General features: G+C 45.1%; 1 long non-coding RNA gene across 1 annotated transcript in view, besides 4 other annotated features; it reads left to right on the top strand.

Moving 5' to 3' along the window:
- Positions 1–1,068: 1,068 nt before the first annotated feature.
- LOC105378657 (uncharacterized) overlaps positions 1,069–17,845 on the top strand; it is a 203,343-nt gene continuing 186,566 nt past the window's right edge. Inside the window, exons 1-2 of the long non-coding RNA XR_947210.3 lie at positions 1,069–1,320; positions 4,442–4,613. This is a non-coding gene — a long non-coding RNA (uncharacterized LOC105378657). The remainder of the gene's footprint in view (positions 1,321–4,441; positions 4,614–17,845) is intronic.
- Positions 1,478–1,772: a silencer, noted in NCBI's record as "tiled region #1530; K562 Repressive non-DNase unmatched - State 20:ReprD". NCBI's record gives its function as "weakly represses a minimal TATA promoter and a strong SV40 promoter by Sharpr-MPRA in K562 cells {active_cell/tissue: K562}" and the evidence as "EXISTENCE:reporter gene assay evidence [ECO:0000049][PMID:27701403]".
- Positions 1,478–1,772: an enhancer, noted in NCBI's record as "tiled region #1530; HepG2 Activating non-DNase unmatched - State 13:Ctcf". NCBI's record gives its function as "activates a minimal TATA promoter and a strong SV40 promoter by Sharpr-MPRA in HepG2 cells {active_cell/tissue: HepG2}" and the evidence as "EXISTENCE:reporter gene assay evidence [ECO:0000049][PMID:27701403]".
- Positions 14,219–14,993: an enhancer, noted in NCBI's record as "OCT4-NANOG hESC enhancer chr1:38955288-38956062 (GRCh37/hg19 assembly coordinates)". NCBI's record gives its function as "activates a minimal SCP1, AML or CMV promoter by ChIP-STARR-seq in naive H9 embryonic stem cells {active_cell/tissue: H9 hESC(naive)}" and the evidence as "EXISTENCE:reporter gene assay evidence [ECO:0000049][PMID:30033119]".
- Positions 14,478–14,772: an enhancer, noted in NCBI's record as "tiled region #9528; HepG2 Activating non-DNase unmatched - State 13:Ctcf, and K562 Activating DNase unmatched - State 12:CtcfO". NCBI's record gives its function as "activates a minimal TATA promoter and a strong SV40 promoter by Sharpr-MPRA in HepG2 and K562 cells {active_cell/tissue: HepG2 | K562}" and the evidence as "EXISTENCE:reporter gene assay evidence [ECO:0000049][PMID:27701403]".

Below are 17,845 nucleotides of genomic sequence, written 5' to 3'. Positions count from 1 at the left end.
AACTTGAATACCTAAATGGGCTGAATGTGGAAGCCCCCAAAGTGACAGTAGGTTTGGAGCTTGCCACTTCTAAACTTTCTCACCACGCTGAGTACAGGTCATTTCAATCTGTCCCTGCTCTTCCTTTCCTCAACACAAAGTCATTGTCACCCTCCTCTAGATTCTTTCTGGCCATCTTGAAGAGAGGTGACTTATTCACAATTGCAGAGCCTGGTTAGATGTGCTGCACTTTGAGGGCTGTTTTATTTGGTGACTTCAAGAGCAATGCTCTGTGGCTGGTGCAGGGGAAAGAGCCCTGGATCAGGAATTAGAAGATCTGGATTCTCGTCTGGCTCCTCCTACTCCCCATGGCCTCTCTGGGCTCCAGTCTCTTCATGAGTGAGGTTAGGATGATCACACGTGCCTCATAGGTAGGTGTGAGAACCAGAAGAAGTAAGAGACATGAGGGTGCTTTATAAACTGGAAGGTGTGCAGGTGTGAAGGTGACCTGCACATAGTAATTACTCAGCTAACGTCTGCTGAGGGAATCTGTCCTGTGTCCATGGATGGTTTTGTACCCACATCTGTGCAGCACAAGGGAGCCTCCCGCTTGGCTTATGAGGATTTGCCAATGACACCACAGCATGCCCCCTCCATCCCTTGCCTTGTTTTCTAATTGTCTTTCCTCTCTCACTCTACAACACTCAGAACTTGATCACATTGTCAGAATGGGAAGGCTCATCACAGCTTTTTGGCTTTGTATCTAAAATCCTGCCTTCAATCAATAGATACCAAAATGTCTTTGCAAATAGACAAAAAGGGAGTCCACAACTAAAGCTAATGGCAACAGAATATGAGGATGATTGAGTCCAGGGAAGGAAGGATACTAGCAAAGGAAGGAGGGAGGGACAGAGAGAGAAGAGGTGGGGGAGAGAGAATGTACGATACAGTTATAGGGCTAACGATTTGATTTTGACTGTCTTCCCTAATTGGGGTCTTCCAGTGGGAGGAGTGGCTGTGTTCCTATGAAGTGAATGCAGATTGAAATGATGAGACACCCAATAACCACCTCCTTCCTCCTTCCTGTTTCCTCTGGGTAGCTGCAACAGCCCTGGCTGTTGTGTGTGGCCAGCACTGGAGGGGATGGAAGATTGAGAGGGAAGGAAGAAGGAGCATGGGCTGCCCCTTACTCCTGGCTGGTCAGGTTGGTGTAGGCTACTCCCTGGAGTTCTGTAGGAATTGTGACAATACGACTTCCACAGCAGCCTCTGCAAAGCTGGCCTTCTACGCCCAAGTCCATCACATCCTGCGTGCAATGGAGCCACCTTATTTATTTGGAAGGTAAAACAGTGGTACTTAGTGGGAGGCTCTCATTCACCAAAAGGGGCACATGGCTGCACCAGCCTACAAGGGAGGAGGCAGAAGGCACCAGCTCCTACATGATTCTGGTTCAGCTTGTGTTTCATTGAAGGCGGAAGGGCTTGCTTTCCAGGAACTCACTGGGCTTTTCCCAGTCTACACAGGGCTAATTATCAAGGGTCTTGCTCACAGGTTCAAACTGCCCCTTTAAATAGAACCTGTGGGTAAAGAGCTTGCCTGGGCAAGTTCCTGAGCACTGGGGGTCGCTCTTATCCCACCAAAGGGCCATAGCAGGGCTCTTCTTGGGCTCTAAGAAATGACTTTAAGGGACGCCTAGGGCTAGCAGCAGAGAGCTTTGGAGAGGGCTGGCCAAACTCCCAACACTTACCCGACTGAGCCTCAGGCTAAGGGTTGCAGCATTTGTGCTTCCTGCCCAGAATTAGGGCAGACAAGCTCTGGGTCATGACAGGTCCTTGGGGCTTTAGGAAGGGATGTCCACCAGTGTGCACATGGATAGAGGAGGAGGGGGAGGAAGGGATGTCCAGGGTGTGGTGGGCAGAATTATAAACTGTGTCTTTCTAGGCTTCTGGGGAATCTGCCTTTCTTCTTCATTCGCTTGTCTCTGCCTTATGCAGTACTAGGAGCCTTATTATCTCTTGCCAGTACTATTGTAGATGTCACCTAAATGGACCTTCCTGCGTCCAGTTTCATCTCCTCCTGTCCTTTCTTAGTACTGTGGTCAGTGATGTTTACTGAATGTCAGCTGCATGTCAGGGTTTGTGTTGGTTACCAGTGGCATAGGAATTAACTAGACCCAGCACCTGAGCCCTAGAAGCCCCTGATCTAGTAGAGGAGGAAAATTGTGCCAGATAATGACAATATGGTGTCTTTAGTGCTGTAGCAAAGGTGAGCTGACACTGCTTTGCAAGTCACAACAAACCAAGCTGGTGACATCAGAGTTGACCTATAAGAGGCAAGTAGGGTTTTGCCTGACAAGGGAGGGAAGGAGGATTTTAGGCAGCAGGACAAGCGCATACCCAGTGAGTACTGACCTGGCATGTCTGGCACCTCTAAGACCACACACAGAACAAACTTCACTCTGGACCAGTAACTAGATAGGGACTGGATCAGTCAGGGCCTCCGATGTCCTACTGAGGTGGCTGGGATTTTTGTGAAAACCAGAATCGAATCACTTTATGATTCTCTGCTTAAAAACTGTACACACCATCAGAGGGTACAGCATCAGTTCTGTGCTGCATGACCTGCTTATGCTCTTCCCTTTCCTGGACCACATTTTGCTGTCCCCATATTCGTCTGTTGAACTCTGATCTATTCTCCAACAAGTGTCTGAAGCCCAACCACCTCTGAATTTTTTCCATGACTGAACATGATCTTGCCTTCTTCTCATCCGATGCTCATAGCATCAAATGCCCCTTTGAGGATGTGATGTCTCCTTTCTGTACTTTGTATTAATATTTATATCTGATTCATTTTTTTTCTTCATCTAGACCTGCACAAGGCCTGGCACATAGCAGTGGTCAAAAGTTTGCTGAACTAGAGTCTGCTTTTGACCCCTGATATGGGTTGAATTATGTTCTCCCAAAAGATATGTTTAAATCCCAACCCCTGGTACCCGTGAATGTGACCTTATTTGGAAAAAAGGTCCTTGCAGATGTAATCCTGTTAAGATGAGGTCAAATTGGAGGAGGGTGGGCCCTAATCCGATATGACTGGTGTCCTTGTAAGAGGAGACATGGCTCACAGAAGGGGGATGTTATAAAGATACAAAGGGAAGTTGGCCATGGAAAGATGGAGGAAGAGTTTCAAGTGATGCTGCCATAAGCCAAAGAATGACTGGAGCTATGCAAAGCTGGAAGTGGCAAGGAGGGACCCTCCTCTAAAGGCTTGGTAGGGAGCATGGACCTTCTAATGCCTTGATGTCAGACTTCTGGTCTCCAAAACTATGGGGTAATAACTTTCTGTTGCTTTAAGCCCTCTAGTTTGTGGTACTTTGTTATGTCAGCCCTAGGAAGTGATACCACGCTCCTTGCTTCTCCCCTCCTCTTGTCTCCCTATATTGAGCCATAGTACTGTTCCCCGGGGGTTCTGGGCCCTGACAGCCATGCCAGGGCCTGGTCCCTCCAGCTGGGCCCCTCCATGACTCACCACAACCACACATATCTCCTTGCTTATTGTCAAGGCCTTGCTTCCTGGTGGCTGGCCAATTTGTATGCCATCATTTGCTCTTGTTTTAGTATACTCTTGCTTGGGTAATAGATTTGAATTTTTACCTGGGCCTTCTAGAGACTAAAAGCTTTCACTTCCAGGAAGTGAGGAGCTATTCCAGCATCATGGAATAGCAGATGGAAGACCTGATAGCAGAGATGGAAAGAAAAAGTCTCAGAAGAAGTGACTTGGCTAAGGTCAAACCACTTTATCACGTGTTCATTAATTCAGCAGATACTTATGGAGCACCTACTCCGTGCCAGGCACTGGGCTAGGTGTGGGATATACAGCAGTGATTAAAGGTAGGATAAGACCAACAAAACCTGCCCCTACAGAGCCCAGAGCCCAAAGAGGAGGTCGCTGCTTGCTATTAATCAAAGAATCACCTAACTAGATGTAAAATTACAATAGTGATAAAGATTTATGACAGAGAGGTATATGGTGCCATGAAATCAGGATGAAATTGAGAAACTGGATGGAGATTTCAGATTAGGATGGGACTTTTTGATATGTGTGCATTCATGCCTCTGCTGTTACGGATGGGAACTGCACCCTGCCTATGGACATGGCTCCTTGTGAGCAAAAGAAAGAAATGATCTAAGTATGTTCTCCAAAGTTGTGGAAATCCCTAAGAAAAGGGCCATACACTTCTTAAAAATTTACTTATTCCTTTATTCATTCACTGATGCATTCAACAAACATTTATGGGACACCTTCTATGTATCTGGCACTGGCTAAGGGTTCTGGACACACATTCAGCTCCCTTAGCTCAAAGAACACACAGTCCAGCCAAAAAGGCAGACATATGAACAAGCAGCTATAATCTAGTGTGGTAATGATATAACACAGAGGTAGGTTCAATGTGCTTTATCTGTAGGACTGTAATCCTGTAAAAGAAGGAAAATCCAGGTACTGCCTTGAAGGAGAGGCAAATTTTCATGGGGAGAAGTGAAGTGGAGTATGCAAAGAGAAGGAGATCCAGGCAGAGGACACAGCATGGGCAAAGGACTGGAGATGTGCATATTCGTGAAGTGCTTGGGAAGTGGCAGGTAAGTTTCATGTGGCCAGGATGCTGGGTACAGAGTTGTGGGTGTTGGGAGGCCAGGGTGAAAAAGACCCAGCTTTCATGTTTCCTGTCAATTCCTTTCCTTGGGGTTTCTTGGGCAACATATTCTGTCATTTTCCACTGTGGAGTTCCCACCCATTTTCAAAGTTGTAAAAATATTTTTGGTAAATGTTCTTTTCCTTAAACAAGCCAAACTTAAGACATCACAGGGCGGGACCCACACCCATGTCTCTCCTTTTGCCCTGCATCCTAAGATGATATAGTGAAAGAACGTGAACCTTTAAGTAAGACAGTCTTGGATTCAGAGCCTGCCTCTGCCGTTTACTAGCTGTTTGGTTATGGACAAGTTATTTATCCTCTCTAAGCCTCAGTTTCCACCTCTGTATAATGGGGATACAAATTCCTACTTTGCAGAACCCAGGAAAGTGCCAGGCATGTAGTAGCCATGCAATAAATATTCTTCTTTGAGATTCTGTAACTGAAGAGACCATCAGAAATGGACCAGCTGTTTCTCCAAAGGCAGGAGTCAAGGTTGCTACCAGGTGCAGGCTGAAGAACACCATTTCCTTTTCTTTTAGTTTAAGTGTCTTTAGAATGAGCAAATGCAATGTCTTTCCCGTGAGGTCTCTTTACATCGAACTCAGTTGAGTCTTTGATTAGCACCAAAGCCTCATTTTTCACTTTCGACTGGTCTCCTCCCTTTTAACATTTGAGCTCTCAAGACGTTCTTTGTTTCTGTTGCACAATGTGTGTGTGTGTGTGTGTGTGTGTGTGTGTGTGTGTGTGTTGGAGGGAGGGGATACAAAGAGGAGAAGTATATTTTTAGAGCCATAGAGGAGCTGGCAGAAATTGAAAATAAGGTTTTCAAGTTCATATGTTTATGCTTTAGGAGAGATGTAAAAGGAAAAGCTCAGTGGCAGGCTGTATGTCCTGTTCAATATCTAAGAAGATTTCTGAGACATGCCTTCTGGCATTCAGATTAAAAGGCACCCCTGCCCACTTGCGGCCAGCCTCCCTTCCTCTTCCCTTCTCCCAGCAGGGGCAGGGGCCTGCATTTACCAGGTGGGTAGCGGCGCTCAGGGAGGAGGAGGAGTCTGGTATGTCAGTGTCCATGCTCGGGTGAGCAACCTGCTTCCTCGGGTGCTATGATCAGGGCAGATTAATCCCCAGAGGTGGTCGGTGCACAGTTAACATTTTTGCCTCTTATTTTAATTAAGGAGGGCCAGGGGATAGGGTGTTAGCATGTCTAATGGGACTGTGTGGCATGTGCTGACTGCCCGAGGAGTTTCAGTTATTAGCACTTGTTGAAGACTTTCTAGATAATTAAATACCACATTAATCATTGCTCTGAATGGACATAGATTTTTATTTCTCATCTCAACTCCTTGCATGCAGTAGGCAAAGTGGCTCCTGGACCTGGTGGCTCCCCAGCACACAGGCGGGATCTCACCCTATTCATGCCCACTTTCAGTGATTTTGTGGAAAAGAAAAGATTCTCCCAGACATTTGCCTTCGTTGTTCTGACAGCTGAAGCTCTCTTCACAGGCACATTAACATGACCTCATTAGTTTCTGCATCTACTCTTCTAACCACATAAAACGGAGTGCAGTAGGAGCCAATCATGCTAATTACATCAGATCGGTTTGCATATTCATAAACCATTTTCTGTTTTATGGACAGCAAAAATAAACACAGTATCTCTTTAATAATTTTAAGTGGGTCACTTTCAGGACTGTATCTGTTTTAAATAAATTATCATATTGTTAAAGGCCACAGTCAAAAGCTATTTTTTGAGCAGCCTGAGAGGTGGAGGGTGGGGGGCAGGGCACGTGGAGGGGACTCGGAGATCAATGGGATTAGCCAGTTGGTCAATTTCCAAGGTCTCCTTTGCCAGGGAAATTCCAAACTTGAAAAACCTCCCTGCTTTAGTGAACAGGTGCAATGCAGCCTCTTAGTAATGACAAAATATATTCTAGTCAAAAAGACGAGACTATCAAAATCACAGTCTTTAAGCAGTGGGAGTGAAACCCAGTAACATACCAAGTCCTGTGTTTTCTTGGAGGCGTTTAATTTTAGGGGCCAAGTTTAACACTCTGGATTTTCTCAAGGTGGGATGAAAAAATGGGGGTAAGAACAATGAGAAGTAGGAGTCAAATCTGCAGAAATGGACCTTTCCGCTGTTCCCCATGTGTTGTATTTCTTCCCAGACAACACCGAGACCAGAACAGGCCCACTCAAGTCTCCTATTCTGTGAGGGCCTTTCCAATCCAGTACCCGTAATCATCAACAATGGAGCTGAGTTATAGATTTCCTTTGCTTTAGGGGAAAAAAAGGTTTGAGAAACAAAGATAGACACAAGATTTGCACAGAGAGAGAGAGAGAGAGCTCATGCTTAACCTCGTTAACTGTTAACTAGGACTGTTAACTCGGTAGTCCTGTTAGCTAGGACTGTTAACTGTTGTTTTTTTTGTTTTGTTTTGTTTTTTGTTTTTTTTTTTTACCGTTAGCAGGACTACCCAAAGACCGTGTTACCCGAGACAACTGATTTGATAATGACAAATCATTTCTAGTCATTCATTAAAAGTAGGTCCTTGAGGATTAATATTGTCCTAATCTGACTGAGTGCTATATGTATTTTAAGGTAATAAGATGACATTTCTTTATTGAAAAAGCATCCTGTAATCTAGGCATTCCACTGACATAAGCTGGTCTTTTTTATCATGTTTAATGGAGAGGTTGTACCGCATTTATATGCAGTTACAACATCGCGTTTATTTCTAGCTCTGGATCTTTCTTCCTTTTCTCTTTGTTGTAAACATTCCTGGCAGAATTAATGTGGCATTTCTTAGTGGTAGTTCAGGCTCTCCTCATTTTGTTGTTGTTTTTGTAATGCTGCCTCCAAATGACTGGGATTGGAAGCTGGAAAGGCTCTCGTTTTCTTTAATGCATACATAGATCTCTGACTCAGAGCTTCTTGGGGACCTTCTGCTCAACCTCCAAAAATGTTTGCATTTATTCACCTTCACCTTGGCTCCTGACTAGGCGAATAAACTCTGAGCACAGATGGCTGCCCCATGTTATTATCTGAACCAGAGTTGAAGCTTTTGTGTGTCAGCTGCACTGATTTTGAAATACCCTATTATTTGTGCAATATACCTTGGAATTATGGTTTATAATTTCATGAAAGCCTAACATATCTGAATGTTTACAAGTTCTATCCCTTGGGGAAATATATAGTGTTCATTTCTTTTGTTTAGTCTATTTAAAGCAGGACTAGATACAAAGCAGGAGTGATTGACAAATTAATGCTCTCAGCTCCTACTCAAAAGTACTTGAATTATTAGTACAAAAAGCATGTTACAAACTGTAATAATTTTAACTCCATTTCACTGCTAAAAGCTAATAATAATGAAAACAAATGAAAATAGTAATGCAATCTAACACTAGCCAGAATGGAAGCAGTCACAGCATTGGGACTCTGTGATCAGCTCGTTAGTTCCATTAAAACTCAGGAACTGGGGAGTCTGTTCATTTATTTTGGATTCAGTTCTGGGGGCAAAGGGAGGGTGGGAAGAGGGAAAAGAATGGTCCTATGCAGCAGAAATAAGAGCCAGCCTTCCTCCTTTGGGCCTTCTTCCCTCCGCAGCCCAGGGACTGTGTTTCCAGAGTGACAGCTATGCTCCCACAGCAGAGGAGAAGCAGCAGAGGGGCTAATGGGTGGTACCAGTGAGTGAGAAGTCACTGCTGATTGCAATTAGGACAAAGGAGTCTGGAAGCCTCAAGTCCCACCTGCGGACTGTCTCAGCCATCTCAGGGGAGGGGAAGAGCTAGGCATGCTACAGAGAACCAGAGGACCAGCCCCTGAGCAGAGAATGCCAATTATCAGGAAACTTGGTGTATTCATCAGGGTTCTCCAGAAAAACAAAACCAATAGAAGATAGAAGTATTATACATATGAAGTTTACTTAAATTTCTTGTAAGAAATTACATATATATACTAATATTTGGATAAGAAATTGGTTTTTGCAATTATGAGGCTGATTCCAAGGTCTGCAGTTGGCAAGCTGGGGACCCTGGAAAGCCGATGGTGTAGTTCCAGTCTGACTCCGAAGGCCTGAGGACCAGGACAGCCAATGGTAAGTTCCAGCCTGAGGGGAAGGAGAAGATCAATGTTCCACTCAGGGAGTGAGGCAGAAGTTCCCTTTTACTTGGCCTTTTTGTTCTATTCAGGCCTTCAATGGATAGGATAAGGCCCACCCATATTAGGGGGTGCAATCTGGTTTACTCAGTCTCCAATTCAAATGTTCATCTCTTCCAGAAACACCCTCACACACATACCCAGAATAATGTTTGACCAAATGTCTGGGCACCCCATGGCCTAGTCAAGTCAACATATAAAATTAACTATCACACTCAGGATTTCCTAATCTGAATTTTCCTTGGTCAGTATATGAGTTATTATCTATCAATGCGAAGTAAGTCGCTCAGTGTGGTTCTTCTGGTGTGAGCTGTTAGTCTGAGCTTATTCATGCAACTGCAGTAAGGAGGTAGGTTGTCTAGATGATCTAGGATGATCTAGAATGGCCTTGTTGATACATCTCAGGGGATCAACCGACTGTCAGCTGGGGAGAATGAACTATGTGCCTCTCATTATCCAGCAGGCGAGCCAGGACATCTTTCCTTTACTGTAACTTTGGCCAAAGCAAGTCATATGGGCAAGCCTCAAGTCAGTGTGGCAGGGAACTAACCAAGAGTGTGAATACAGAGAAGAGTTAACAAGTTGAAGGCCATTGTTTAACAATTCGCTAGTCAATTTCCTGGTCCCCCTTGGAGGTGCTCTCTCACCCTGGCATGGAGGGGCAGATGTGAACAAACAATGTGTTCTGTCTGGTGTTTCTTCCCAGTCTCCTGTGTGGATTCGTTGTCCTAGCCTAGCCTTTAAATGCTGGTATTCCTTAAAGTTCTGTCCTTGGCTCCCTGTAGTAAGGGTCACAATATCCTGCACATCCAACCAGGAAACTCTGGAATATCAGAGCAGACTACTAGAGTACAGTTTGCAGGTGAGCCCCAAAGAGTCCTAGTTTGTAGGTGATCCTTCTTTGCGTGGAGACCCTGAAATATTCTGTGGCCCAGTCTCTTGAGGAATATCTTTTAAATTCCCAGACAGAATGAAAGGATCAAAGATGTCTTAGGGAGTTCTGAAAGGAGCTGAGCTTATGTAGAGGTTAGGTCATCCAAGCCCAGAAGCACGGGCCTGTCTCTGGGCATAGGTGGATCCTGCCCTGGAAAATCTACTGTAAGAAAGGCAGCCTGAGTGACATGGATAGAAAATCCTTGTGGCTGTTGAAGGAGCTGGGGCCATCTCATACTTGGGGTAAAATATGGGGCTCAAGGGCCAGGGATTTTTGGTGTCTTGCTCAGTAGGCCAGGAAGTGGCTTGGAGGCAGAAACTCCATGATTACACTCATGCTTGGGGGTGTGGCACACCTGTGGAGGGCAGGGGGAGTCAGACTGACCCTGGTTTGTGGAGATGATGATGAAGAATGTCTTCCCAAGATGTGGAGCATTTAGGCCAAGACATTCCAGGAACCCTGCCTTAGCCTATGAAACCTTGTGGCCCCAGAGCCCTGGTACAGCCCGATGGCCCAATGTGGCTGAGTGAGCCTCCAGGCTCTGCATAGATGTGGAGTCGAAATCCACACTCAACAAGCGGCAGCCAGGATGAGCACAGGGCCGCCTACGGTTCCTTCCTTGTGTGTTGTGCTGCTTCTACCTCCAGAATTAAAACATTGTGCAGAAATACAGGTTTATTGTTATCAATCCCACCTCAGGAAACTTGACAAATGCATTCACATGCACGTAATTAAGAGATAAAGTCAACTGAACAAAGCTTTGTCATTGAAATAATGGTTTCCCACTGTTAAGTTTTTGCCTCAGCGAAGTAAAGGTGTATTAGTCTGTTCTCTCATGGCTATAAAGAACTATGTGGCTGGGCATGGTGGCTCACGCCTGTAATCCCAGCACTTTGGGAAGCTGAGGTGGGTGGATCACTTGAGATCAGGAGTTCAAAAGCAGCCTGGCCAACATGGTGAAACCCCATCTCTTCTAAACATACAAAAAAAAAATTAGCCAGGTGTGGTGGCAGGCACCTGTAATCCCATCCACTTGGAAAGCTGAGGCAGGAGAATCGCTTGGACCCAGGAGGCGGACGTTGCAGTCAGCCTAGATTACGCCACTGCACTCCAGCCTGGGTGACAGAGCTAGACTCTGTCTCAAAAAAAAAAAAAAAAAAAAAAAAGAGAACTACCTGAGACTGGGTAACTTAGAAAGAAAAGAGGTTTAATTTAATTGACTCACAGTTCCACAGGCTGTACAAGAAGCATGGCTGGGGAAGCCTCAGGAAACTTACTGTGGAAAGCAAAGGGGAAGCAAACACGTCTTATGTGGTGGGAGCAGGAGGAAGAAAGAGAGCAAGGGGGAAGTGCTACACACTTTCAAACAACCAGATCTCGTGAGAATTCACTCACTATCATGAGAACAGCAAGGGGAAATCCGCCCCCATGATCCAGTCACCTCCCACCAGTTCCCTCCTCCATTATTGGGCACTACAATCCAACATGAGATTTGGGTGGGGACACAGAGCCAAACCATATCACAAGGTGTTTGCTCCCAAATCATAACTCCCTATGCCTTTGACAACTGTCTGTGACATCCTCCTTCATCCCCTTGCCCTCGTTACCTAGCCATGATAACAGCAGAGCCAATGTCTGGGGACCCTCAGTAGGAATGAAAATTCTCTTTGCTCAAGAGGACTGGATTGGGACCAGAACTCTGGGGTTCCCACATGAACTTTTCTGCTCCTGCTCTGTGGGGGTTGCCTTGGAAAAATACCCTTCCTTACTCTGCTTTTATTTCCCCCCTCTAACATGAAAAAAATATATAACATCTGACCCTAATTCCTTAGTTGAATGGAATGCATCTAATGGCATTCGGATAACTTAGGCTATTAGCAGGATATACCCATAATGTGGTCATTAGGTTTCACTTCTACTCCATACATGTTGTACTTCTGACTGCAAATACATGAACGAGCTCATAGAATAAGTGAGAGTTGATTTTAAGGGCATTAGAATTGGACATCAATTAAGACAACTAAAGAAGTTTGGGTCATGCATGCCCTATCATGCTTTTTTTCCCTTCTTATGTTCCAGTAAGGAGTTAAGTAAGCATATTATCTCTGGTGCAAAGGTCAGAAATAGCCCCTGTCTTAGCCAAGAGCACCTAAAGTGAGGATGGAGTTCCTTCTCTTTGTTAAGCAAGTGTGAACCTTTCACTAGAGAAGTGTAAACCATGCTCCCCTAGAGCAGGTGCACATTAGGGTCATGCACTGAGCAGGGTGGGCTGGTGGGCCGGCTGGAAGGATGCACGGGTAGGAGGCAGGATGCAGGAGGCCCTCAGCCCAGAGGTACTCTGTTAATCAGAAGGGTAGTGATGGCTCTGTTGCAGAGAACTCTAGCGAGGAAAGTTAGTGGCTTCTTGGATAGGATAGGTGGGAGGAATAGCATCAAGATTCCAAATTCATCTGTTCCAAATACTTTGTTTCTTAACTGTCCTTTTGTTTTACTGGGTAGAATTTTATTATTATCGGTCATGAGGGAAGATGAAAACCCCAGTTTCTGTTCTGATGTTTTTGTGGCTTTTAAAGTAGAACCTGACAACAGGCATGAGAAGGGAAGACACAGTGCTGGGAGCTGAGACCTGGGTTCTAGTTCCTGCTCTACTCGGACTCCCTGCATAAAGCCATTTGAACTAGTGCTTAACAAGGAGGGCGCATCTGATGGTTTCTAAAATACCTCCCAGTTCCACATTTGATTATCCTGATACTTAGTATTAGAGATGGTCATCTAGCAGAAATGTGTTATTGATCCCATGTTTGAAATATTCCTTTAGAATGGTATCAAAATGTAGTTTTCCTCAAGTTTACATTTCTCCTTAGATTTGTCAGGTATATGATTAATCACTGAGAAAGGACGTGTAATTCCTAAAAGCTGATTACTAGAAAAGAACTCATTCTTTTTTTTTTTTTTTTTTTTTTTTGTGATCCACCTGCCTCAGCCTCCCAAAGTGTTGGGATTACAGGTGTGAGCCACAACGCCCGGCCCCTTACAGGATTTCAACACCACCCAGATGTTTGTCTTTTACACTCTCACTACCAGTCCCTTTCTTAAGAGCAATGCCCCAGGAACCACACAAGATCACCAGGATACAATAGCCCACTGCCACCAAATTTCTCTTTTTTTCTCTCCTTTGAGACAGGGTCTCTGTCATCTAGGCTGGAGCGCAGTGGTGCAATCACAGCTCACTGCAGCCTCAACCTCCTGCGCCCAAGCCATCCTCCCAGCTCAGCCTCCCAAGTAGCTAGGACTACAGGTATGTGCCACCATGCCCAGCTAATTTTTTGTATTTTTTGTAGAGACGAGGTTTTGCCTTGTTGCACAGGTTAAACTCCAGGGCTCAAGGGATCTGCCTGCCTCAGCCTCCCAAAGTGTTAGGATTACAGGCGTGAACCTCTCCGCCCAGCCCCAAATCTCTTTTCAATGAGCACTTTGAGGCCTCAAGCTCCCAGGTGAGAACAAATCTTTTTGACTCTTTTGTTTTTGTTTTTAAGACAAAGGGTCTCACTCTGTCATCCTGGCTGGAGTACCGTGGTGTGATCTTGGTTCACTGCAGCCCTGAATTCCTAGGCTCAAGCTATCCTCCCACCTCAGCCTCCCTAAATAGCTGGGACTACAGGTGGGCGCCACTTCTCCTGCTTACCTTTGACTCCTAAAACCAACAGGATAAAGGCAAGGAGTGGTGGCTCATGCCTGTAATCCCAGCACTTTGGGAGACTGAGGCGGATGGATCACTGGAGGTCAGGAGTTCGAGGCCAGTCTGGCCAACACAGTGAAACCTCATCTCTGGAACTCGTTCTTTACGGAGAAAGAAGTATTGGATATTTCTCTTTAATTTCTTAATTCTCCCTCACTTTTTCTTAATTTGAGGGGAAGAGGGAAAATGAAAATTAGTGACTCAGGTTGGAACTAATTTGTATATTGCAAAGCTTAATTTATTAACATTAATTTTGGAGAGCAGAGATTGTTAGTGTTGTGCTTTTGAACACTAAGCTTCACTGGATTAGTACTTAGAATAATTGTATTTAGAAAAAGGCATTTTGGGGGAGATTCCGCGTCTGTCAAATATTAGCATAACTGAGATTTATTCTTTAGGTTTTTATTTTGTGGCAGAAATGATGGGATAATAAGGTCATAAGTAGGTTTGGGGTTTTCAGGGCTTAAAGAATTATTTATGTACTCTTAAGGTAGCTGCTTCTATATACCAGAAAGAGATATGTCCTCTGGAGGGAGAAGAAATACACAAAGAAATATCTCAACTGAAACTGAGGGGTAAAGTTGAAGAGAATCAGAATGTTCTATATAGTAAAATGGGGTGTGAGGATGCCCTTAAGAGGTAAAAAGAAGAGAGGGAGATACAGAGGAAGGGGGAGAAAGGAGCGAGGAACAACAGAGCTACACAGCAGCCTATTAAGAAAACGATTTCTAGTAACTAATTATAATGTGTTAGCTTTGCCGGAATGTAAATCTATTTCCATTACCCCAAAACCTTTCATAAAGTCTCCCGTGCACATACCGGCTTTCAGTAAGTGGGATTTGGCGGGGGGAGGGCAGGGGTGGGGGCTGCCATTACTGTTTGTGGGGAAACCTCTTTCTCTCTGGTTTAGTTTCCAGGTGGTAGGGTGGCAAGCTGCACTCTTGCCCTGAATTGGCCTCTAGTCACTCTGATCTCCCTTTCCGGTCCCCCACCCCCCAGCTTGGGAGAGGTAGCAGGTTTGTAGCTTAAACTCCTCCCCCTTCTTTTTGGAAGCTGTCTCAGCAGAGAACCTGTGCCTGGGTAGCCCTGGCAGTGAAGGCAAGGGCAGCAGCTTTCTAGCGCCCCTTGTGGCTGGATGGTGGTCTGCCCAATCCTGGTGGTCAACATCAGGAGGCCCATTGTCTGCGCATGCTCTCCAGAGCCAATCTTATTGGTAACAAAGCAAGCATTTCCGCTTCCATCTGCCTGACTCCGCATCTCTTTCAAAGCGTCTGAAACTTAGGCAGGAAGAAGAGGGGTGGCTTTGTTCCTTAACTCCAAGCACAACGGCCCATGCATCAGACGACAGTAAATGTTTGCGGAATTGAAGATTGAACCAGTGAATCGTTGAATCATGGGGATCAGTCAAAGAATAAAATGGCACAGAGACATGAATTCACAAAGTGGAGGTTAATATTCAGTTAAATTATATGAAATTGCTAGTTGTGCAGATCAAAAACAGTCAAATATTGGCAAGTTCACGTAGTTTAACCTAATAGTCCTCTAGTCTCAAGGGGGGCAGTGAGGTCCTTTCTGAGCACCCTGGGGCTTCATTCTAGAATAACCAGCTTCCAGCTGGCAACTGACTGGAGACGTTCAGGTTCCTGTCTGGAGTGCTTCCACCTGAGTTCAGGATCCCTGCATGGAGAGTGTCATTGTGTTTCCTTCCATCTGAACCAGTCTTAACCTGCTGTCCATGCCACTTCACCCGAAACCAAGATAGCCTTTACCCTGGCCCCAAACTCTCTTTGCTTGTGACTTGGGGAGCAGCTGTGACCCAGCAAGAATACCCTTGAAGCCTCCCATGGAATAGCCTGGTAATTCCCAGATCAAGTGACCAGTTCATTTCACCACCCCTACCCCAGCACCTAGTATTCATCCTGTTAAGGTGATGTGTAGGTTATGAAGCACTTTGGCATCAATCATCATAACAATCCCATGGGAGAGGTATTATTATCTCCATTACACCGATGAGCACCAGAGGTCACACCTGCTGATGGCTCTGGAGCACTGTGCTATGTGACTTAAACAAAATATTTCATTTAATTCTCATAGTCTGTTATGGGCAAAATTATGTTCCCCTGCCCCTGGAAATTCATATGTTAAAACTCTAACCCCCAGCACCCCGGAATGTGGCTGTATTTGGAGATGGGAGCCCTTAAGGAGGTGACTGAGTTAAGATGAGGCCTTTAGGGTGGGTCCTAATCCAATCCAACTGGTGTGTTTATAAGAGGAAATTTGCAGACACACAGGCACCGAGGATGTGCATGCATAGGAAAGCCCCCATGAGGACATGGTGAGAACATGGTCATCTGTGAGCCAAGGAGAGGGTCCCTGGAAGGAACCAACCCTGCTGACACCTTGGTTTTGGTCTTCCAGCCTCCAGAACTATGAGACAATTCCTGTTGTCGAAGATGCCCAGGTTGTGGTATTTGTTATGGCAACCCTGGCACACTAATACACACCCTTCATGACAGAGTACTACTATTATCCCCATTCTGCAAATGAGGAAACAGAGGCTCAGAGTGGTTAGGGATCTTCTCCAAGGTGGCACAGCTAGGAAGTGATGGAGCTGGAATTCTAACCTAAGATCATGTCTCTGGAGCCCACTGGCTACAACTTTTCCCTTGTTTATGTGAAGGGAATTGCTCAAGGTCACACGAATAGAATAGTGAAGCCGAAACCTGAGGCCACATGATGACATCATCACTTGCTCCCCAACAGTATTTTATCAATCAGTGTTGCCATAAAACACAAATTCATTTCTAGCTAACAGTTCCCTAATTCTTAGGCTTGAGAGGATAATAAAGATCTGTGCGCAATAAATAGAAAACATTACATAGTCTTAGTATTCAAGTAGCAGAATGAAACGCCATATGGAATTCCATAGGTGACTTTTTGTGCTGTAAAGTTACCAATAAATGTAAAGATAGCTTAAGATTATGATTATGATAAGGGCGAGTCAGGGGAAAGGCGCCTGAACTCGAAGCCCGGATTTTGGTTTCAGCTTTACCACTTAATGCCTTGGGCAAGTCATTTGACTTCTTTGCACTTGACCTTGAGCAAGTTATTTGACTTCTCTGCACTTCACTTTCCTCCCCCGCAAAGCAGGGTCAATAATTCCTGTGTGGGATCCCTCCTAGTGCCTCTTGAGTAGCAAACAGGGTAAGAAATAGAAATAATCTGTGTGAACTGTCAAATACTGAACGAACCTATGCATTATCTTTGAGAACACTAACAAGAGCCACAGATTTACATTATGTTCTGTTGAGGGCCTTCCCCAGGCTGTGCGGAAGGAGCCTCTAGAAAGGATCTGGCAAAATGGGAACCATGTGAACGGTGCCAGAGCACCAAACTCCACATGGGGTGCTTGGAAACCTCCTGCAACCTCTCAGCACGCAAACTGTTGCAGTTCCCAAACCAATAAAGATCTCACTGCCTCGGAAGGAGAGCGAGGTGTGATTTCACATTCTCCACACGGCTGCTGACTGCACACACCACGCAGCCCGCGATGGAGTAGGCGCGCGCATGTGTCTGTGTGTGTGTGAGTGTGTGTTTGTACTTGGAGAGGGTGTCTGTGAAATCTAAAGGGCCAATATCGCACTCGCTGCAGCACTCAACAGCCAGCACCGTCTGGGGAGCTCCATCCTGTATTGACGCAACTGTAAGTTGTAACAGATAGCATTCTGGAATTCATGTGTGAATTTGTTTAGGGTGGATTTATGGGGGAGTTTGCTGGCTTTCCCAAGCTTTCAGGAAAAGTAGCCAACTGTAAGCTTACTAGAATCGCCATTCACTTTAGTTCTGCTAGGGGACTCTCTTCTGTCCAGGAGGTAGGAGAACCATGGTTACCAGGGGCAGGGAGGTGAGGAGATGGGGAGAGATTGGTCAAAAGGTACAAAGTTGTAGTTATGTAGGATGAATGTCTAAAGAGCTGATGCACAGCATGATGACTGTACTTAATAATACTGTGCTGGATACTGGAAATTCAATGACAGTAGATTTCAGGTGCTCTCACCACCCACACGCGTGCAAGTGTGCACGCACACGCAGTAACTATGTGAGGAGATGGATATGTTAATTTGCTTAACTGCAGTAATCATTCCACTATGTGTATGTATATCAAACATCTCATTGTACACCTTAACTGTATACATTTTTTATTAAAAAATAACAGAACAGTAACATGTGAGGTTGTGGCTGTTATTATCATTAGTTGTAGTAATAGCAGAATTGTGAGTGGGATTTTGGCAACTTTACTCTGTAAAGGTTTTACAGCTAAGGTTGATTTAAGAATCCAAGATT

The sequence above is a fragment of the Homo sapiens genome, chromosome 1 (assembly GCF_000001405.40).
Source record: "Homo sapiens chromosome 1, GRCh38.p14 Primary Assembly".
In the NCBI taxonomy this organism is placed as follows: Eukaryota; Metazoa; Chordata; class Mammalia; order Primates; family Hominidae; genus Homo; species Homo sapiens.
The sequence above is the reverse complement of the archived record's forward strand: the minus strand, read 5'-3'. Positions and strand labels throughout refer to the sequence as shown.